General features: G+C 36.3%; 1 protein-coding gene across 12 annotated transcripts in view, besides 1 other annotated feature; it reads left to right on the top strand.

The window, feature by feature from the left end:
- Nucleotides 1–23,041, top strand: part of VAV3 (vav guanine nucleotide exchange factor 3) — a 394,020-nt gene that overhangs the window by 317,262 nt on the left and 53,717 nt on the right. For 11 of the 12 annotated variants that reach the window (XR_007063680.1, XM_017000053.2, NM_006113.5 and 8 more), the window contains one exon: nucleotides 5,164–5,300. Coding sequence is in view for 11 of the 12 variants with exons in the window: in XM_017000053.2 (XP_016855542.1) it covers nucleotides 5,164–5,300 (137 nt within the window). In the remaining variant the exon portion in view is untranslated. Of the gene's footprint in view, nucleotides 1–5,163; nucleotides 5,301–23,041 lie in introns of those variants that run through there. The other variant, XM_047430543.1, reaches the window with a different exon arrangement.
- Nucleotides 21,288–21,377: an enhancer, noted in NCBI's record as "active region_1420". NCBI's record gives its function as "activates an Ori minimal core promoter by ATAC-STARR-seq in GM12878 lymphoblastoid cells {active_cell/tissue: GM12878}" and the evidence as "EXISTENCE:reporter gene assay evidence [ECO:0000049][PMID:35858748]".

The raw sequence follows: 23,041 nt of genomic DNA, 5'->3' as shown, positions 1-23,041 counted from the left end.
CCAGCACCTAGCATCCCAGGCTCAACCTGATTCTTAGGACCTGATTCTTAGATTGTGAACTTGTATCAGGAAAGGTCCAGATGTTAATTTATAAAGGGTTTTTTAGTTGGGAGGATGACAGGCAGCACTTATTTCACTGTAATTTTCTCAAAAGCAAATTTGGCAGTGGTAGGTGTTGGTCATGGTGTTTTGCACATGTACCCACAAGAATGTGATTCCCAAACTTGGCTAGAGTTTGGATGTCACACCTAGGAAATTTATAGAAAAAATAATGTACATGTTTTAGGGTCCTACCCAAGAATTATGAAAGGAAAATTTCTGAAAATTTTTATAGATATGAACATTTATTTGTTTTAAAGTTCCCTCTGGATGGAGGTCCATGCCCAGTTGTATTGTTATCTCAGAGTTCACCTGTCTGTCTATTCCATGGACTGACTATAGGCTGTTTGAAGGCAGGATACTTTCCCTTGCTTTCTTCTGAAACTGCCATGCCCAGCACTTATGGAATGCTGAAGTCACATTTGATGAATGAATTAATATGTTATGCTTGTGATCAGTTTCCCAGGATAAAACATCTACATGTTCTGATATCTTGTAAAACTAATTATTTTTTAATGTGGCTGTGTTTAGATTTTAAATTGGGCCTCAGAGGTGAAAGGCTAGCATATTACCTACAGCCCATTTATCTAGTAGGCAGTACTCTCCTCTAAGTTATTGCCTCGGGGAAGCCCATTGCATTAGGGCAGTGATAACAGCATCATGAATAGATACTAATCTATGTTGTAGCAATCGCTCTTCTTGCCCTGCTTGGAAGACACAGTGGTTGATGCTCCTATAATTAGCTGTTCAGTTCATTGAAGTTTGAAAGTTTATGTGAAAATTATCAGTGAAACAATTTATATCTAGAAAATTTTCTAATAGGGTTCTACTTAGAATTAACTTTTAAAAAAAGCACATGTGTCATTTGGAGTGTGTCACTCTTAGCGGTACTAAATTCAGATTTGAAAGGAAATTTTGTTTCAGGTCCCCCTTTTAAAAACACTTCTGTATTGTTTTGGGAAACTCCAGCATTCTGCATACCTACATGTAGCTTTAGTTTTATTTAACCAGAAACACACGACTATTAGTAGAGTGTAACTATCCTTTTAATATTGCTAATTTGTTTGTTAATTCCTCCTGCATAAGTTTGACTTGGGCATTTTGTCTGATGTAAGACCAAGCACAATTACTAATGTGAGCAAAAGTTAATGAGCAAAATTGTCAAGTTATATATTAAGGGCATAGTTAGCTGTACAACAAAGCTTTTGTTGTAGGGGATAAAACAAGGTAAAATAATTAAACATCTGGCAGGAGATCTAATTTTGGCTTAGTATTTTAATCATATTCTCTTGGATAATTATAATTGATTATATAAAAGTTTTAGGAACTTCTAAGATTGCCCAAATACATATGGTGAAAGTACATGTGATTATTTTGCATTTAATGTCTGAAGGTAGTTGCAATATAAATATTCATATTTGGGTGAGCAACACTGTAACTCAGCTAACACATCTGTTGTAAATAAATTCTGGAGTGGAGAGAAACTAAACAATTGTTGGGTCTGTATTTTCCCAAGAAGAGAGAAGCAACTTTCTGAGATTAGTTGTGAGTTTATAATATAATGAAATGTGTATTTCTTGTCATTTTTTAAGGAATATGACTGTCTGTTTCCAATTAATCACTGCCAGTGAGGAAACTTAGAGTTCAAGTTTTGTAGTTTACGCTACTTTGCACCTCAGCATCCTTTGAAGTATGGTAGCCAAGGGAAAATATGGAGTTTTTTAAGGAACTGGTGATTTTAAGCCTGAACAAATTTTGAAAGACTAATCTATGAAAAGGAGATTTGCCATCTTCAGCATAATTCCAGATGGAAGGCAGTAGGTCAATGGAGAGAAGTTACGTAGAGATTTTTAAGTAAGTTTCAAGAAGACCTTATTAATAAACTCTGCAACAATGACTGAGTTGTCATGGGGATGTGTGGTGAATGTTCTGCCCTGGACATTTTTAAACAGAGGTTAAAAACCTATCAGAGGCATATTTTCTAAGGGGAGAAGAAAACCTATATTAAATTAATACTAAATGACTGTTCGAAATATGAACATCTGTAAATCTAATTTATTCTCCGTTCTTGATCTCATTTGTGAAGTGTGATGCCTTCTGTGGCAGTAGATTGTGTTAAGAATTTTATTGATGATTGAATGCTGACGTCAGGTTTAACCCATTTCCTCTTAATCGCAATTTTTTGTCTTCCAGTTAATGTGAGTGTGTTCACATTCTTAGCAATGTAATGGTGCCTTTTTCATAAGTGGAAAGATATTAAAGGGCATTTTGGATAGCAACCATTTATCCCACCTGTATTGTAGAACACCTACTATATGCTAAAATCAGAAGCAAAGAGCAAGTTGTCAGAATTCATTATATCGCTGTGCCCTTGTTTCATTCCTTTTATCCTTTGATCTCTGTACCCCTGACAACAGATCATGCTGAAATTGGAAGTGCTGACAGTAAGAAATAAATTGCCAAAGATAACCCTAACAAATGACCAAAAAAAAAAAAAATACATTCCATTATATCATAAACTCACAACCCATTCCACAAAAAACCATATGAGTTGAAGAAACACTATACTTTGTAAGTTGATTATGGCTGAATAGAGGTTAATGACAATGTCCTAGTGGCTATTTCCTGGGCTTAAGCATAATTCTTGGCAAGGGTTACACATTTTTGCTTTGGGGAAGAGGTCAGCAACATACCTATAGTAGTGTGCTACTAGGTGAACTTCTTAAATGAAGCTCATAACCAAGAAGAAAGCAATACCAGAAAAGATAGAGTAAATAAAAAACTTAGGAATAAGTGGGACTAGAAAAGCTAGAATAGCTAAGTCCTATTACTTGACCAGAGTATACTAGTGTATACTCTGTATACTCGAGTATACAGAGTATACTAGTGTATACATACTAGTGTATACACTAGTATGTACCCTTTGTAATGTTAAATATAATTTTACATGTTATGGGCATGTGGTGGGCATTCCAGTCCATCTACAGAAAGACATATGAGGCAGCATTGCTCCATCCCTAACACCTTACAGCCTCTTATGGAGCCTGGGCATTTCTGTATTTTAATCCCTAATATATATTTGGGTGGTGAAATGTCATCAAAGTTAATTTTTTCCTAAACACTCTGTGAATTTTCAGTTGTTTCTTCTTAAGAATGATTGACTTGGGCATGTTGGCAATAAAGAAACAGCTCTTTCCATCATTTGTCACATGACGCTGCTCCCTTTTTATCCCTGTGGCTCTTGGCAACAGAAAACTGCAGTGAAGTCCACGGCTCAGAACTGGCCCCAGTATTTGAGACCACATCAGCTCTTTGAGGTTTAAAAGATCTTCTTTCTTGACTTCCGCCTATATTTAAAACTGTCAGAAAAACAAAATTACCCAGGGAGTCTACCAAACAAGATGCTTTCCTTGCCCTAGGTATGCTCAATAAAAAGGAGGTGAACTGCAATTCTCTCCCTTAAACACGGAGTTAACTATCATGCAAACCAGACTCCATTTAAAAAATTATTCCACTTTATATTACATCCTCTTCCACCTGTTGGAGTTCTTAATCACTTGTGTATGGGATATTTAGGTTTCATTTTAAATTAGCAGTAGCAACTTAATAGAATATGTAAAATAAACTCTCTATACTAAAGGCATTTGCAGTGTATTGAGAGCAAGTCTGTTAAACATTTAACTGAGAGGAGTTCTCTTATAGAGTGTTGTTTAGGGGAAAGTCAATGAAATCTGCTGTTGGTGTTAGGGTGAGACCTTATAACATCTGGTAGGGAAATGCTCCATGAATGTGAGATTAAAATCATCCCTCTGGGGGTTCTGCGGCACAAGAACAGAAGCAAAGGAGGATGTAGCAACTCCTGACAAGCCTCAGCAGTCCCAGCAGCTAAACTGGGGTGAAGGGCACAGTGTTTTTCAACCTCTGCCTCCTGATTGGATTGATAAACAAGTGTTGACTAAAACTTTTCTAGTCTGTTCAGTTTATAGCCACACTTGTTTTTCTCCCTCTGGCATGTTGTTCAAAAGAATTTTGAGGACTTTAATAAACTGTTTGCTGAAGCATTTCATGTAGCTTTTGAGAGTTTTCTAGGTAACTTGGACATCTAGAACTGAATGACAGTCATTCATCCTTCTTTACATGTTTAGTGCAGCATTTTCAGCCAGTTACAGCTTCACCATGGTTAATCATTAGAATAAAAAGTCCTGAAGCTTAATAAAGGCTTCAGTCCTTAAATGTGCAAAAAATATCATGTTTATGAGTGGACCTCTCTTAGTTGGGAGCAGTTTCACCTGTAAATGAATAAGTGACTGTGAGGTTGTCCATTGTGACCAGTATTGCTGCACCTAGACCCATGTTCAATTGAAGCTGCTGTTCTCTCAAAAATGAAATCGTGAACTGAGGCCTTCATTGCACATTCAAAGAAATACAAAGAGAAGGAATGGATCTGTATTTCAAATATCATTGGTGCTATTGGCTTAGACATATTCCCTTTATTGGGTCTGTTTTGCAAGCCTAAATTTGAGCCTGAAGAGTTTCTCCATATGAATGTCTTAAGTATTGCAGTGGCACATCCATCACCTTTTTGCTTTTGAATTACAAAGATAACCTTAAGATATGATCCATATACTGGGCAATGTGATACATACACAGAAAGGATGAGCCTCCTCAGTGATGAAATCAGCCAGTGCCCAAGAGGAAAGTAATAGGCAGAAAGGATAGAGTTGATGAAAAAATTGATTCTTTTCCATTAAACTGTACGTGATGTGTTTTTTATGAAGCAGGCATCAGCTGAAGGAGAAATATTTTTTCAACTAAAAAAGAGATTGATGGTAAGGGAGAGGAAAACTATGTCAGGGATCATGGGATAAATATGTGTCTTATTCTATTACCATCTCATATAATGAGAAAGTTGAAAATCATTCTATTATAGTTACTTAAAATGTTTACTTGGACTTGGTGGTATTAACACTTTTTAATGTTAATAATGACATTTTTTGTAAAGTTCATGTAGACTTCATGCATCATTGTTTTCTCAATTCTAAAACTTGTTTGGCTTATTTTCAGGTTTACCAAAGATGCAGGTCATTAGGAACTATTCTGGAACACCACCCCCAGCTCTGCATGAAGGACCCCCTTTACAGCTCCAGGCCGGGGATACCGTTGAACTTCTGAAAGGAGATGCACACAGTCTGTTTTGGCAGGTACTGTTGTTGCAGGAAAGGGGTCCTGATGCAGACCCCAAGAGAGGGTTCTTAAATCTTGCCCAAGAAGGAATTCAGGGCGAGTCCACAGTGCAAAGCAAAAGCAAGTTGATTAAGAAAGTAAAGGAATAAAAGAATGGCTACTCCATAGACAGAGCAGCCCCGAGGGTTGCTGGTTGCCCATTTTTATGGTTATTTCTTGATGAAATATTAAACAAGGGGTGGATTATTCATGTCTCCCCTTTTTAGATCATATTGGGTAACTTCCTGACGTTGCCATGGCATTTGTAAACTGTCATGGTGCTGATGGGAATGTAGTAGTGAGGACGACCAGAGGTCACTTGGTTTTGGTAGGATTTAGCCGGCTTCTTTACTGCAACCTGTTTTATCAGCAAGGTCTTTATGACCTGTATCTTGTGCCAACCTCCTATCTCATACTGTGACTTAGAATGCCTTAATTGTCAGGGAATGCAGTCGAGTAGGTTTCAGCCTCATTTTGCCCAGCTCCCATTTAAGATGGAGTTGCTCTGGTTCACACGCCTCTGACACTATCCGAATTACAGTTTGTTAGATTTAATGCATGATTTATTACTGCTTAAAGAAAAATGACTCTTGTCTTTAGAAACTGCATGCTTTCAGCTTCAGAAACTTTACATGATATGCGGAAAATATTTTTTATTAACCTTTTTTATATTTACTAATGCCAAAGTTGCAACAAAAATTGGAACACTAGAGAAAAATACTATCAGTGCTGTGGGGTCATAATTATCATTTTTATTAAAAATTCCTACTTTACCAGAGCATTTTTTCCAAACCGAGGACCTCTGGGTATGATCTAATTTGCATGGCTTTAATATATTAACAGTTCACTTCAGGGGAACTACCTAATTAGCTTGCCTGTGGCCATTTCTGACCATATTTGCTTTTTACCTACCCACAGTAATACCTGGAGTTCTCAGAGGTGCTCTGGGCATTATTCATAAAATCTATGAAATGTGAAAAGTAAGTGAGCATGTTGATGTTTGCCCATGATGAAATCTCTCTTGGCCGGTGGACCTTTTTATTTGGTTGAAACTTTTTTTGAACTTAGGTAAATATGGTATTATGTTAAGATTGAGTAAAGCTGTTCATTAAATTCTCGAATTTCATGTGTATGTTAGAAATATTTCCCAATGATGTTGAGGAAAGAATTCGTTAAAAAATCTATTGTGCATTGAGGGAAAAATAAGTGAGGACCAACAGAAAGGTTATCACGAGTGAAATGTGGTTAGAGGTAAAAAGAGAGAAATCAGAGAAAAGACTGTTGGATAATAATCAATTGTGCACATGCAGAAGGGACAGCTATTTTATTTGCTTACATCTATTTTATTGTCTGTCATCTTGTTATATAAGAATGCCCAAAGATTGAACGTTTGTCTCTAACCACCATTTCAATTGTGGTAGCCAGTGATTTTTCCAAAGCTCCACCATTCTTCTTAAGTATCCCACTCCTTCCAAACTTCATCCTTCCCAGAAAAAGAAAAGAGAGAACAACAGACTTGAATTCTACCACCTCTTCAGACCACTTCTGTGTCTGTCAGCTTAACCAGAAAACATACTTGCATTTGTAGCCATAAGGTTCCTCACATTCAAGACTTATCTTTCTTCTTGGACTTTTTATCCCGTATTCCATCAGCTGGCTTTTGACTCCTAAATTTTCAACTTCATTCTCTCCACTGGCTCATTTTCTATAGTATATAAATATGCTCAGTCTCCTCCCATATTAAACACATAACTCAGCCTTTTGTCTGGTCATGCCAGACACTCTTTCACCCTCTTCCTCTCCACAACCAAAGCTAAGCTTGTTGGGGAAGTAGTCTATGCTCACTTTCTACCACTCCATGTCCTATTCATAAGCCAGCCTCTTGCAGAAACTACTCCTTCTTGGATCATTAGTGCAACTTTATATAAAAACAGCTTTGAGATGGATGGTAAACTGTGCATAGTTTAAGTGTACAATTTGATAAGTTTGAACACACACATACGTACATACATATATATAAGTGAAACTATCACTATAATCAGGATAATAAACATATCCAATATCATCCCTAAAAGTTTTTGTGCCCCTTGGTAATCCCTCCATCATGCTCCTTCCTGTTGCTTTGTTCCGCCTTGCGCAACAACCCTCAGCAACCACTGTTCTGCTTTCAGACTGGAGATGAGTTTGTATTTTTTTAGAATTTGATGTGCATCACATAGCATATATTGTTTTTTGTATGGCTTATTTCACACAACATGATTATCTTGAGATTCCATCACGTTGTTATGTGTAATGATAGTTCTTTCTTTTTATCGCTGATTATCGTTCCATGTGTGGAGATAGCACAATTTGTTTACCCGTTAACCTGTTGATGGACTTTCAGGTTGCCACTAGTTTTTGGCTATTGCAAATAAAGCTTCTATGAACATTCAAATATAATTCTTTGTATGGACATAATGCTTTTATTTTTCTTAGATACTAATGCCAAGAGGGGAATATATAGATCATATGTAGATATACATTTAAGTTTTTGAGAAATTATTAAATTGTTACTCAAAGTGCCTATACCATGTTACATTTCTCCCAACTGTATTTGTGAGTTTTAGGTGCCTCTTATCCTTGCCAACATTTGGTGTGGTCATTCTTTTTTTTTTTTTTTTAAATACAGGGTCTTCCTCTGTTGCCCAGGCTGGAGTGTGTGGTACTACAATCGTAGCTCACTGTAGCCTCAAACTCCTGGGCTCAAGCCATCTTCCCATCTCAGCCTCCTGAGTAGTTGGAACAACAGGCATGTATCACCATGCCTGGCTAATTTTTTAGAGATAGTGTCTAGCTAAGTTGCCCAGGCTATTCTCAAACTCCTGGCCTCAAGCATCCCTCCCACTTCAGCCTGCCAAGTAGCTAGGATTACAAGCATGAGCCAGTCTTTTAAATTTTATTTATTCTAGCAGGTATATAGTGGTGTCTCATTGCAGTTTTGATTTGCATTTCTTTAATCATTAATTCATTAATAATGTTGAACATCTTTTTGTGTGCTTGTTTACCATCTATATAACTTTGCTGGTGAAGTGCTTGTTCAAATATTTTGTCAGCTTTTTAATGAGCCATGCATTTTTTTATTATTTGGCTTTGAGAGCTCCCTAGATATTTTGGGTAAAAGTCCTTCATAAAATATTTTATTTCCATATGCTTCTCCTAATCTGTGGCTTTTTTTTTATTCTCTTGATAATGTTATACATAGAACAGAAGTTTTTACCTTTGATGTAGTCCAGTTTGTTAATTTGTTCTTTATATGGATCATGCTAAAGGTATTACATCTAACAAATCTTTGCCTACCCCAAAGTTACAAAGACATTCTCCTTTGTTATCTTCTAGAAGGCTTATAGTTTTAGGTTTTACATTTAGATTTATGATTCATTTTGAGGTTTTTTTTTGTATATGGTACTAAGGTTTTTTTACATGTGGATATCTAGGTGCTCCAGCAGCATTTGTTGAAAACGCAATTATTTCTCCACTGGATTGCCTTTGTAAGTTTGTAGATAATGTGTTGTCCATACATATGTGTGTATATATATCTTTATGTGTATGTGCACATATATTTATATGTACTATATATGTGTGTGTATATATATATCTTTATGTGTATATATGCCGTGTGTGTGTATCTTTATATGTGTGTGTATCTATATGTGTGTGTATATATATCTTCATATATATGTATATGTAGGTCTGTTTCTGGACTGTTATTTTGTTACATTGATTTCTTTGTCCATCTTTGTACCAATGTGATGCTGTCTTGATTACTGTAGCTAATAAGACGTCCTGAAGTCAGACAATGTTAGTCCAAATTTGTTCTTTTCCTTTTTTCATAGGTGTTTTGGGTTTCCTTGGTCCTTTGCATGTCAAATGAATTTTGCGATCACCTTGTCAACTTCACCAATAAAAAAGCTTGTTGAGATTTTGATTGGAATCTCATTGAATTGTAGATCAATATAGGAAAATTGACATCCTAACAAGACTGAGTCTTCTAATCACTGAACATACTATACTCCTCATTTATTTAGGTCTTTAATTCTCAGAAGTGTTTTGCAGTTTTCAGAGTTAAGGTCATATACATCTTTTGTCATATTTATCTGTAATTATTTCATATTTCATTTTGATGCTATTATAAATGAGTTTTAATATTTTAATTTATGTTGTTCATTGTGAGATATAGAAATACAATTGATTTTTGTATGTTGATCTCTTATTCTTTAACTCTTATTAAATTCAGTTGTTCTTGTAGCTTTCCTTTTGTAGAGTCCAGCAGATTTTGTAATATAGACACCATGTTTTATTCTTCCTTTGCAATCTGATTGCCTTTTATTTCTTTTTCTTGACTTGTAGCAATGGCTAGAATGTCCAGTAAAATGTCAAATAGAAGTCATGAGAGAGTATATCCTTGCCTTATTCCAGATCTTAGAGGAAAAACATTAAGTCTCTTACCATTAAGTATGACATTATCTGTAGTTTCTCATAAATGCCCTTCATTAAGTTGAGGACATTGCCTTCTATTCCTAGTTTGCTGCAAGTTTTCATCAGTAATAGATGTCAGATTTTTCTCAAATGCTCTTCTGCATCCATTGAAATGATGATATAATTTTTGTTTTTATTAATGCGGCAAATTTGACTTTCATATGTTAAATCAATATTTATTTTCTATGATTAAATCCCAAGTGGCAATTATATATTATCTTTTTTATATATTGTTTCATTTTCATGTAATACCTTTGTCTGGTTTGGATAATAATGTAATGTTCAAGGAATGAATTGGGATCTAGTCCCTTCTCTTCAACTTTCTAAAAGAGATTTATAGAATTAGCATTATTTCTTCCTGAAGTGTGTCGTAGAATTTACTAGGGAAGCTATCTAGGCCTAGAGTTTCCTTAGTGGAAGGTTTTGTTTTGTTGTTTGTTTGTTTATTTTGAGACGGAGTCTCGCTCTGTTGCCCAGGCTGGAGAGGCTGGAGTGCAGCGGCGGGATCACGGCTCATTGCAGCCTCTGCCTCCTAGGTTCAAGCAATTACCGTGCCTCAGCCACATGAGTAGCTGGGATTACAGGTGAACGTCACCATGCCCGGCTAATTTTTGTACTTTTAGTAGAAATGAAGTTTCACCATGTTGCCCAGGCTGGTCTCAAACTCCTGACCTCAAGTGATCTGCCCTCCTCAGCCTCCCAAAGTGCTAGGATTACAGGCGTGAGTCAGCACGCCTGGCCTAGAAGTTTAAAAAAAAAAAATTATAAAACAAACATATGGCTATTCAGGTTACTTGCTTCTTCTCCTCGAGTGAGTTTGGTAGATTGTGGTTTTCAAGGAATTTGTCCATTTTGTCTAAGTTGTCAAATTTAATGGCATGAATTTTTATTCATAATATTTCTTCATTATCCTTTTAATGTCTATAGAATCTGTGGTTGTATTATCCATCTCATTCCCGATATCAGTAATGTATCTCTTTTTGCCTGGTCAGCCCGACTAGATAGGTATGCATTTTATTGATCTTCTAATAGAACCAGATTTTGGCTTTATTGGTTCTATTGTTTTTTTCCCCTATCATCGATTTCTGCTCTGATTTTTATTACTTTCTTTCTATTCTTTTGGGCTTAATTTGCTCTTCTTTTGCTAGTTCGTTAAGGTAGGGTGTTTGCTCACTGATTTGTGTACTTTCCTTTCTTTTGCTAGTATAGTTAGTTAGTACTGCAAATTTCTTTCTAAGTGCTACTTTGCTGCCTTCCCAAAATTTTGCAAAGCTGTTTATTTTCATTTTCAGTCAGTTCAAAATACAGATGGTCCTTGCCTTATGATGGTTTGATTTAATGATTTTTCAATTTTATGATGGTGTAAAAATGATACACATGCAGTAGAAACTATACTTGGAGGGCCCATGCAACCATTCTGTTTTTCACTTTCAGTACAGTATTCAATAAATTATATCAGTTTTCAATATTTTATTATAAAATAAACTTTGTGTTGTATTATTTTGCCCAACTGTGGGCTAATATAATTATTTTGAGCATGTTTAAGGTAGGCTAGGCTAAGCTATGATGTTCAGTACAGTAGGTGTATTAAATGCATTTTTGACTTATGATATTTTCAATATTCAGTGGGTTTATCAGGGCATAACCCCATTATAAGTCAAGGAGCATCTGTACTTTCTAATTGCTCTTTCAGTTTCTTCTTATAGATTGCTTAGGAATACATTAATTAGCTTTGAAATATTTAGGGATTGCCCAGACATATTTAGAATTATTTTATGGCCCATCTCCACTGTGGAGTTTCTATTCTAATCTGCTGTTGCATGATATCTGAGATTACCTTCTAACTGATCTCACCTCCAGAATCTTATGGTTTATTGTGGCCATAATCCACATCACTGCAAAATTCAAATGCAATTCCATAATTTCTTGTTAAAGTCTTTCAGTGTCTTCCTTCTAACCAGGCAGAATTGCCTCTTATTTATTCTTTCCTTATAGTAATGATGACAACAATAGCACCAACAACTAATGTTCACTATGCATTTTTATGTACAAGGTAGAGTTTTAAGAATATCTTTGTTAATACCCATGATACTAATGAAAATTCTATAAAATGAATTACTATTATTATCCTCAATTTATAGATGAGTGAACTGAGGCACTGTGAGGTTGAATAGTCTGCCCAAAGACACACAGCTAGTAACTTAGCAGAGCTGTTATTCGGACATAGGAATTCCGGCCAAGAGTCCAATCTCTTTACTATTACGCTCTAGCACTTCTTTTACAATCATGTTATTTATGATGAAGCTCATGCTGCCTTCCTAAACTTCATGCACCTTAGGGATATTGGGATGGTGGCTGTCTTTATGCTAATTAAAGAAACTAGTTTTGTGAGTTTCTTTCACTGTCACCATCAAATTTGTGGCAGTGTTTCAGTTTTGTGATTTTTTAAAAAATTTATTTTATTATACTTTAAGTTTTAGGGTACGTGTGCACAACGTGCAGGTTTGTTACATATGTATACATGTGCCATGTTTGTGTGCTGCACCCATTAACTTCTCATTTAACATTAGGTGTATTTCCTAATGCTATCCCTCCCCCCTCCCCCCACCCCACAACAGGCCCCAGTGTGTGATGTTCCCCTTCCTGTGTCCATGTGTTCTCATTGTTCAATTCCCACCTATGAGTGAGAACATGCGGTGTTTGGTTTTTTGTCCTTGCGATAATTTGCTGAGAATGATTGTTTCCAGCTTCATCCTTGTCCCTACAAAGGACATGAACTCATCATTTTTTATGGCTGCATAGTATTCCTTGGTGTATATCTGCTACATTTTCTTAATCCAGTCTATCATTGTTGGACATTTGGGTTGGTTCCAAGTCTTTGCTATTGTGAATAGTGATGCAATAAACATACATGTGCATGTGTCTTTATAGCAGCATGATTTATAATTCTTTGGGTATATACCCAGTAATGGGATTGCTGGGTCAAATGGTATTTCTAGTTCTAGATCCCTGAGGAATCGCCACACTGACTTCCACAATGGTTGAACTAGTTTACAGTCCCACCAACAGTGTAAAAGTGTTCCTATTTCTCCACATCCTCTCCAGCACCTGTTGTTTCCTGACTTTTTAATGATTGCCATTCTAACTGGTGTGAGATGGTATCTCGTTGTGGTTTTGATTTGCATTTCTCTGATGGCAAGTGATGATGAGCATTTTTTCATGTGTCTTTCAGCTGCATAAATGTCTTTTGAGAAGTGTCTGTTCATATCCTTTGCCCACTTTTTCATGGGGTTGTTTGTTTTTTTCTTGTAAATTTGTTTGAGTTCATTGTAGATTCTGGATATTAGCCCTTTGTCAGATGAGTAGATTGCAAAAATTTTCTCCCATGTTGTAGGTTGCCTGTTCACTCTGATGGTAGTTTCTTTTGCTGTGCAGAAGCTCTTTAGTTTAATTAGATCCCATTTGTCAATTTTGGCTTTCATTGCCATTGCTTTTGGTGTTTTAGACATGAAGTCCTTGCCCATACCTATGTCCTGAATGGTATTGCCTAGGTTTTCTTCTAGGGTTTTTATGGTTTTAGGTCTAACATGTAAGTCTTTAATCCATCTTGAATTAATTTTTGTGTAAGGTGTAAGGAAGGGATCCAGTTTCAGCTTTCTACATATGGCTAGCCAGTTTTCCCAGCACCATTTATTAAATAGGGAATCATTTCCCTATTTCTTCTTTTTGTCAGGTTTGTCAAAGATCAGATGGTTGTAGATATGTGGCATTATTTTTGAGGGCTCTGTTCTGTTCCATTGGTCTATCTCACTGTTTTGGTACCAGTACCATGCTGTTTTGGTTACTGTAGCCTTGTAGTATAGTTTGAAGTCAGGTAGCATGATGCCTCCAGCTTTGTTCTTTTGGCTTAGGATTGACTTGGCAATGCAGGCTCTTTTTTGGTTCCATATGAGCTTTAAAGTAGTTTTTTCCAATTCTGTGAAGAAAGTCATTGGTAGCTTGATGGGGATGGCATTGAATCTATAAATTACCATGGGCAGTATGGCCATTTTCACAATATTGATTCTTCCTACCCAGTTTTGTGATTATTATATAACAGTTTATTATTTCTCATAATGCTATGGGTGATAAGGTGGTTCTTCTGCTTCAGTTGATGGTTGGGGTGGTGGGAGCAGCTGTAAGGTCTCGAATGCCCGTGTCCACAGGATTGGCAGTTAGTGTTAGCCTCTGTCTAGGAACTCAGCAGAGGCTTTCTGCACGTTGACCTCTTCAGTGGTTCCTTATCTTCCTCACAGCATGGTGATCGCAGGGTACTTAGACTTCCTATATGGTAGCTGGCTCCCAAGAGTGTAAAAGTGGAAACTGCTGGACCTTCTTAAGCCTAAACACCAGAGCTGGTGCAGAATTACTTTTGCCGCTTTTTTTTGGTTAAAGCAAGACATGGCCAGCCCAGATACAAGAGGAAGGGGACCATACCAATCAAATACCAGGAGGTGTGGTTCACCAGGATACCAAAATAACAGTGTGCCACAGACAGAAAACATTTTGAAGCCGCATGAGCAGCCCTAAGAATAAAATGGTTTTGTGAGCTGTTCCAAGGGCACTGAAAGCCAATCAGTTTTTCACAACAAAGAAAGAGACAGGAAGTAGTCAAGCCAAACACAAAATGTTGAAGATCTTGGTGCGTATAAGTGGCTTGCAAAGTGTGGTGTTTGAGATCACTCTGAAGGTCATGCAGGAGTCCTAGAACCATGCCTAATGTATGCTTAGAGGCATTTAGCTTTAGAAAGATAATTTTGGAATTCATATTTTTCTAACCAAGCTCTGTTTCTTTTCATCTTTTTTTTCTTAAACCTTAGATTTGTAAAACTTAATTATGTATAGTATCTTTTTTCATTTATTCACTAATTTTTCCTATCACAGGTTTAGATGGTGCTTTCAATTATTTTCATGTTTTGAGATTCATTATTTCCTTCATTCCTCACAGCCACATAATGTTAAAAGTAGAACTATAATTGAGATTCTGTGACAACTAGCCCAGTGCCATTTTTTACTAAATACTACTGCCTCCTATTCTTTCTAGACAAAAAGACATTATTAGTTGTCATTTCCTTTCAGCAGCCTATAAACTTGAAGATTTTCTGGTATAGTATTAGAATGGTTTTGGAGACACTTAGGAGAATCATAGGAGAAATGAGAACCCATGGATGACAATATATATGGGTATGTCTGGGGTATATGTAATGATTAGAAACAAGTAAGGCTAATGTTTAGAACAGAGAAAAACAACACATTTATTTCAGATAGCAAGTATGCATTGAGTGCCAACTCTGTTCACTACTCAGACACTGCTAACACTTCAATTATCAGTTCCTATCATTGGTTTGACATTAGGTCTCCTGTCTTTAGAAGAATCATTTTGCTTGCCAGCAGCCAGTAATATGTTTGAGTTTTTGCACACATATTTAAAGTTCATCTAGTGTTTCCCATACAGATGTAACTTGGGTCAGAATTGCGTTATGGATACTTCTAAGCCAATCAAAGAATTTTTAGCCAGCAAATGCTAGTTTTATTGAAATGAACCACTGGCAGTATGAGAAAAACTAAATTCAAGTCATGTATCTGTAGCCAAATAGCTATATGGCTTTGGTCAAGTCATTTAATCATTATGTAGCTTAGTTTCTTCATGTATTACCTGAGTGGGGCTATACCAGAGCAGTGCTTACCACCCTGACTGAATCACCTGGGGAGCTTTGCAATAATGTCAACACACAGCCTCACTTCCAGAGATTAAGACACAGATGGCCTTGGTTGAGCCCAGGCATAAGTAGATTTTATAAAACCCCAGATGAATCTAATGTGAGCCATTGATTTGATTATCTAATTGGTAAGAGACCATGGTAATTTTGACACTATCCCCAGCTCACCAGTTGGTAATTGGTATTATTAAACGTAGCTACAAAATAAGGTGTTACACTTTTACACTGTTGGTGGGACTGTAAACTAGTTCAACCATTGTGGAAGTCAGTGTGGTGATTCCTCAGGGATCTAGAACTAGAAATACCATTTGACCCAGCAATCCCATTACTGGGTATATACCCAAAAGATTATAAATCATGCTGCTATAAAGGTACATGCACACGTATGTTTATTGCGGCATTATTCACAATAGCAAAGACTTGGAACCAACCCAAATGTCCAACAATGATAGACTGGATTAAGAAAATGTGGCAGATATACACCATGAAATACTATGCAGCCATAAAAAATGATGAGTTCATGTCCTTTGTAGGGACAAGGATGAAGCTGGAAACAATCATTCTCAGCAAATTATCGCAAGGACAAAAAACCAAACACCGCATGTTCTCACTCATAGGTGGGAATTGAACAATGAGAACACATGGACACAGGAAGGGGAACATCACACTCTGGGGCCTGTTGTGGGGTGGGGGGAGGGGGGAGGGATAGCATTAGGAGATATACCTAATGCTAAATGACGAGTTAATGGGTGCAGCACACCAACATGGCACATGTATACATATGTAACTAACCTGTACATTGTGCACATGTACCCTAAAACTTAAAAGTATAATAATAATAAAATAAAATTAAAAAAGAGAAAGTATACTAGAGTGGAAGAAGAAAATAAGAGAAAATTTAGATGTCTCCAAATTTCTTATTCTTTTACCAGTTTTAATGTTATATAATCTTACAAATGTACTGTGTAGGGACCATGGAACAGTTAGCTGACTCTGCTAAACATGTATTATGCCTGCATTTTAGTAAGTTTACAATTTTAGTTATAAAGGTTTAGTGATAAAATTGTAATACTCATATTTAAATGTATTATGATAACAATGCATTTAGTATAAATATAAATTTTATATATCTGTAAATAAAACAGTATATTTTATGTCTCAAAAAAAAATAGGTGTTACAATACTTTGGCTTTGATAGTTACCAAATAAGGGGTACCTTTTTGACAAATTAGTGTATGATTTAAAAAATCACTTGCTAAACAGTCTTTGTACCGAACTTGATATAGTCTTCTCTAATTGAAAAAAGCACTTAAGATCTTACAATGTTTCAAGGCTGTCATGATTAAATTAGCTTTTGTTTCATAGACTGGACATATGGAAGGTACATGTAGGAAACTGGGTTGAATCTGTACTTACTCAATGGCGTAATCTGGAATGCCATGTTTTTAAAAAAATTCTGAACAAAGACCTTTCCTCCTTATTGGGTCTAAATGTGGAATCATGTACTGGTTGATCCTTTGAAGCCATGTGTTTTTTTAGGCATGTTTACAGTGGCCCCTTTTATGTTAATTTGCTGATTTTCATACTCAAAGAAGACATGTACTTTATGGCTTGAATCCTAAAATATGTGACTCCCCCACTGGGAATGTGTTTTAATTGTTTTTGAGAACATAGTTTTTAAGCACCTCTTTTTGGTTCCTTCCTAATCTTCAGAGTCTACACACTTAGCTCTGGAGAAGCAAGTTATGTGTTTAGGAAATAATAGCTTATTTTGCTGAGTGTTACTGACTCTGCCATCTATACCAGTGTGACTTTAAATAGATTACTTACTCTGAAGTGGGCCTCAGTTTTATCTGTCAAGTGGAAGTAACAATCACTGCATACAAAATAAAGCAAATACACAAAGGAGTTCTAGCACAGTGCCCATTAAATAGTGGCTCCTATCCATCCATCCATCCATCCATCCATCCATCCTCCCATCCATTCTTCCATCTTTTTATCCTACCATTCATCCATTCATATACTTATAAAGTGCCTACTATGTAACTGACTGTGTTTCATGTTGGGAGAACCAGAAACTAGAGAACCCGTTTCTAACCTGGAGGCCTCCATGATGTAAGGAATGATCAGAACTCAGGATAGGTAATGCACCTGGTTTTCATTTTGAGTTTTGTAATTAAGGTTTTTGTAAATCATATTGTTGCAAATATATCTAGCGTTAAACCTATAGATAAAAATCTAGAAAACTTATCGAGATGTTACAATGGCTTTGTATTTGATTTCAAAAATGTCTTTTGTACTAGTTAGGTGCTTTGGCTTATTTGGAAATTTTTGAGAAGTTATGCTTTCTGACCTGTTTTCTCTGTTTTTGCAAGTTGATGACTTCACTCATTAGTGTGGGAAGTCAGATTTTGTAGTAGACTGTCATGTTTTCCACATACTCTATGTCAGGAGAATACAAATTATCCTCTACTATATATCAGGAACTTTCTTTCTTTGAATAGCTATTAATTTAGTCTGTATTATTATTATAACAACAGTAATTTCTGATGCTATTGAATGAATGGGCTATCTGCATTTTCATTATTACTTCTTTCAAACAATGAATTATCAATTGAGCTGTAAAAATGTACTCTGTTCAGTCTTTGCATTTCAGGATTCCTTTTGGCAGCATTTTCTTTTCTTCTTTGTCTTCTTCTTTTTTTCTTCCTCTTCCCTTGAAAGCTCTATAAAATTGCCTTCAAGTGAAATGAATATAAAATAGGAAATTGGCCATTTGGGGCACGTTTTCTAGTGCAGGTGTAAGGCATAGTTTTTACTAAGCCTAACAACATGCAGGACAATTCTGATCGTGTCATCCAATTGATGATGATAAACATGTTGCTTTTAAGTCTTTGTTGCAATATGTGATAAAAAAGTCTTAGTAACTCCTGAGAATATCCTTCATGCTGGAAGAAATTGTTCATATTACAAACTTTATTTTCCCAGAAAAGATAACTATACTTATCACAAAGGAAGAGAGGGCAAGACAGAGAAACAGGCAAATGTAAAATTAAGCCATGTCATCTATGGTTTCTATTACAATAGAATGCATAGAAAACATAGAAATATGTGTTTTCTTCTTAGAATAAAGACTGTGAAACAGTGAGGATTCTGTGTCTTATATCATGGGGTTTTATTTGCTCCATTGTCATTTACGAATATCCAAATGTTCCACAGGGAGAGTTTTGTAAGCTAATTGGAACCAAAAGGCAATTATAAGCAGTAGAACTGTAATCAGTGCCAAAAATAATATATATTTTTATCCACAATGCAAGTTAAATAACTTAGAAAATAGTTGTGATACTTCATGCTTACTAATCATACATCTACACGATCTTTATTCTAAGAAGTGAAAATGTTTTTACACACATTCCGATTAATTCACAAGGTCTTCATAAAGAGGGTAAATGGAAAATCATGTTACCTTCATTTAGAACTGTGTCTTTAAAGGGCCAAATTTATGACCTGTTTATAAAATTGCAGTTGTAGAGTTAAAACTAGAGTCCTTTTCAGACTTGTGGTCCCCTACTTTAGTTCTATATATTAGACCATTGTACTTTGTTTTAGGAGAGTCATTTAATTTTCTAACACCTCTAAGAAAAACACACTTTTAAAGGCAGTTTTGTTATTTTTTGGTAGAAAAAATAGTAAACAAAACATCACTTTATGTATAACTTTTTGTGTAACAGGAAGAGTCACACAGAAAATAAAAAGTCAGAAAGTAAGTTGAGCTTAGAGAGAACTTGGAGGTTCTCAGGAGGAAGGAAGCATTTCTAGTCATGCTGATTTCAGAGGCAACGAACCTGGGGGCTGGTGGGCTCTTGACTTGGCCAGGGGCAACCAGGTGCTGGATTCCCTGCTACCATCCTCTCAGCCATCCAGACACAATGGTGATGAATGTTCTGTAAGCTGGCCTTTGTCTTAGTTTACCTTGTCAATAATTTTTACTTCCCACAGGACTGCTGTATTTGGTCTTCAAACAGTCCAGGTGACTTGCTTTTTTTTACAGATACTTTTTCTTCATTTTAAGCTGAATAGAAAAATGAAGGGCTGATTAGGGGGATCTTTTTCACAGGAGACCTGTTTTCTCAAACCTCCAACCATTGATGTATATGTTACCCTCTTCCTGGTTTTCCCTTTCACCCCCGTTCTGTCAGCTAAATCCTTCCTTATCATCAAGGCACAATACTGGGTTGCCTTTTCTGACGTCTTCTCAGAACCAAAAAGGCTTCTATCATAACACCCATCATACTGTGTCCTAAGGGTCTTTTTATCCTTCTTCCTGCCTGGTTAGAGCACTCCAGAAATATAAAAGCTATGGGTTTCATTACTTTATCTCAGTTCCTAGAATAAAATAGGCATTCAGTCCATAGGTCTGGAATGAATAAGCCTATTTAGAGTTGTGATCTCCATAAGGTGTTATTTACAAGTTTTAAAAGGAATTGTTTATTAAATTATACTTTATGATGTCATTTGAAAGACCATTAAAGTATTTTTTCATCTGTCAGATTTAAATGTGCCTTTTTTCTCTCAGAATAATTTTAAAACTACTTAACATTGTTTCCTCAAATTTCTCCTCTATAAAATGAGATTTTAATTCTTAAATGACTCATGGAGTGTTGTGAGTCTCATAGGAAGTAAACTTGAAAAGAGATTGAAAAGGAGAAAAAAGTGTATTTGGGTATAATGATTAATGATTTTGAAAGACATGCTTTATTTTCCAGAAATGGAAAAATGATAATCAGGTATTTTTTGTTTCTGGTTTTGTTTTTAGGTTTCCTCTTCCCAATATTTAATGTGAAGAGTCCCACTGGCACATATGGTCTCATAGAAGACTATTCTGCCTTCCCAATTCTCATACCCAGTTTTTGAAATTTCTTTAATCAGAGATTAAACTTTTACTTCATAATTAGACATAAAAATGCAAATGATCAATTCTGAAGAGATTGGTTGATTTAAATAATCATCAGGGTAAAAATCATGAGCCCTTTTCTCAGAGCAGGTTTGATTGAGGAAGACCCAGGATACCTCACAGAGAGTGATGGAGATGGGGAAGGAAAAAGAGAGATAGGGGTTTACAGAAAACAAACGCTGCCTAGGGAATGTGACTGAGAACATAAGTGATCTGTGCAATAACGCACAACCCAGAAACCCTCTGAGCCTGGAGAAGGGAGGTGCAGCTGAGTGGAGTTAGTAGATCTTTCCCTCCAGCACCTCTCCCTGAAACTTCAGAAATCAGTCACTTCAAAGGATTCTTTTCCTTTGCCCTAGATTAAAAGGAGACTTCTAATCCTTTCTAGACCACACAACAATATTAGCTCCAGTAGAATTTTCTAAAGCTGTGTATTTTTCTTCCTGATCTAAAATTCAAGTGTTAGTCTGCATCATCATCAGAGTCAAAGAAGAACATTACAGAAATGTAAGAAAGAATCAGATCTCCTTTGTTAAGAAAACTGATTCCGGACACCAAAAGACTCATTGCTTTGGGTTATAAACCAGAGAGTAAACATTTCTTGGAACTGGTAAGTGTTTTTCCCCTTCAGATTCCTATCCAAGGGCATTTCTTCATGATGTCTCAAACTCAGATTTTATCATGGCAATGATCCTTTTAAGGCAGTGTTGGAGCTTGTTTTCCCAGTGTCCCGCTGTTCATCTTGGCTTTTCTTCTAAACTGCCTCTTACCACTGATTTATTAACCCCATCCCTTGAGTAAAATCAGTAGAAGCCAAGGCAGAATTGAAACTGTGGCCATGGGGATAAAAAGCTATGTGAAAGTGTAGAGGCTCAGTCGGCATTAGTATGTCCTGTAATCATGAGACCTTGATTTTGACAGGTATTTGCCTGTAAATACTGAGTTAAATCAGAGTCCCTAATTACAGGAAAGGAGAAAAAGGCAGTATGTGACTGCACTAGAACAAGGGAGGCCTTGGGAGAGATGATTATAGAAGATAATAGGCATTAGTAAAGGCCTGTAAGAAACATTTTCCCTGGGTGATTGTCAACTGGCTTTGATTAAATAGATCATAAACTGAATTTGCAGGAATGTTTCCAAGTGTACAGACTGTAGTATGGGAATTGGCAGGCCTCCTGACAAAGTGGGTGAGGTCCTAATTGTTAATTCTCAAAATGGGCATTTTTGGTTAACAATTCTTGTATTTTTCCAATACTTGGTACAGTGCAATGTAGGTTATAATATACTTAGATGAGGACAGTGCCATCTAAGTAGAAGTTCAGACAATGAAGTATTATCTCTTTTTTTTTCCTGCAGGGTAAGGGAGTAACATTATGGGAGAAAGTTCTGAGAAATTCTGTTGTGGTCCTTTTTCTTCCATTATTTTATTACTATGTAAGCTACATTCTGCCATAATGACTAAAAGTTTGTGTCAATCACAGAATACTTTCAGTGGGCCATGAATTTGGAATTCCATCTGACGTGATTATTGATTTGATGGTGCAAGTGGTTTCAGTAAAGTATGCATGTGCACATGCCCTTAAGAGTTGTGGCCAAATAATTTATCAAATTATAGCATATATTGAATTTTAATTATTCATGATAATTTGAATTCCTGAAGAATGAATCAATGAATGCAATTTCTAACAAATCAACCTTTATGTGCTTCGGAAAATAGACCGCTTCACACTGAGTTAAAAACGTCACTAAGAAGCTGAAATGTCCTTGTCTTCTGTAAATAAATGCTATCAGATTAAATTACTGGCCTGGCACAGTGGCTCATGCCTGTAATCCCAACACTTTGGGAGGCTGGGGCAAGTGGATGATTTGAGGTCAGGAGTTTGAAACCAGCCTGGCCAACATGGTGAAACCCCATCTCTACTAAAAATACAAAGATTAGCCAGGCATGGTGGTATGTGCCTGTAATCCCAGCTACTCGGGAGACTGAGGCAGAAGAATTACTTGAGCCCGGGAGGCGGAGGTTGCAGTGAGCAGAGATCCAGAGATCGCGCCATTGCACTCCAGCCTGGGCAGCAGAGTGAGATGCCGTCCCAAAAAGAAAAAAAAAAAAAAAAGATTAAATTACTGACACACATCATCCCTAATTAAGAATTTGTGGATCAAATGTTTTTTGGCCAACCATGACTGAGTGGAGTACTGTGGGGGCATTGCAAAAGTGCTTATATAATATAAGCAAAGAACATTGGTGGTAGCCGAGACATTGGAAATCCTTAGGTCGTGCTCTGTGTTTCACAGGTGAGGATAATGAAGCCAAGAAGGGTTGAATGACCTATTCAAGATCAGAAGGCCAAAAATAAAACCCAGGCTCCCAACTCCCTAATCCTATCAAATTATCACCTCACAGGTTTTTTCCTGATCAAAAATATCACAAAAATCTATGAAAATAACCAAAGCAAAAGTGAATTAAGGAAATGGCATTGTCTGAATGAGA

Source organism: Homo sapiens, chromosome 1, assembly GCF_000001405.40.
Source record: "Homo sapiens chromosome 1, GRCh38.p14 Primary Assembly".
NCBI lineage: Eukaryota > Metazoa > Chordata > Mammalia > Primates > Hominidae > Homo > Homo sapiens.
This window is presented reverse-complemented; position numbering and strand designations above follow the sequence as displayed.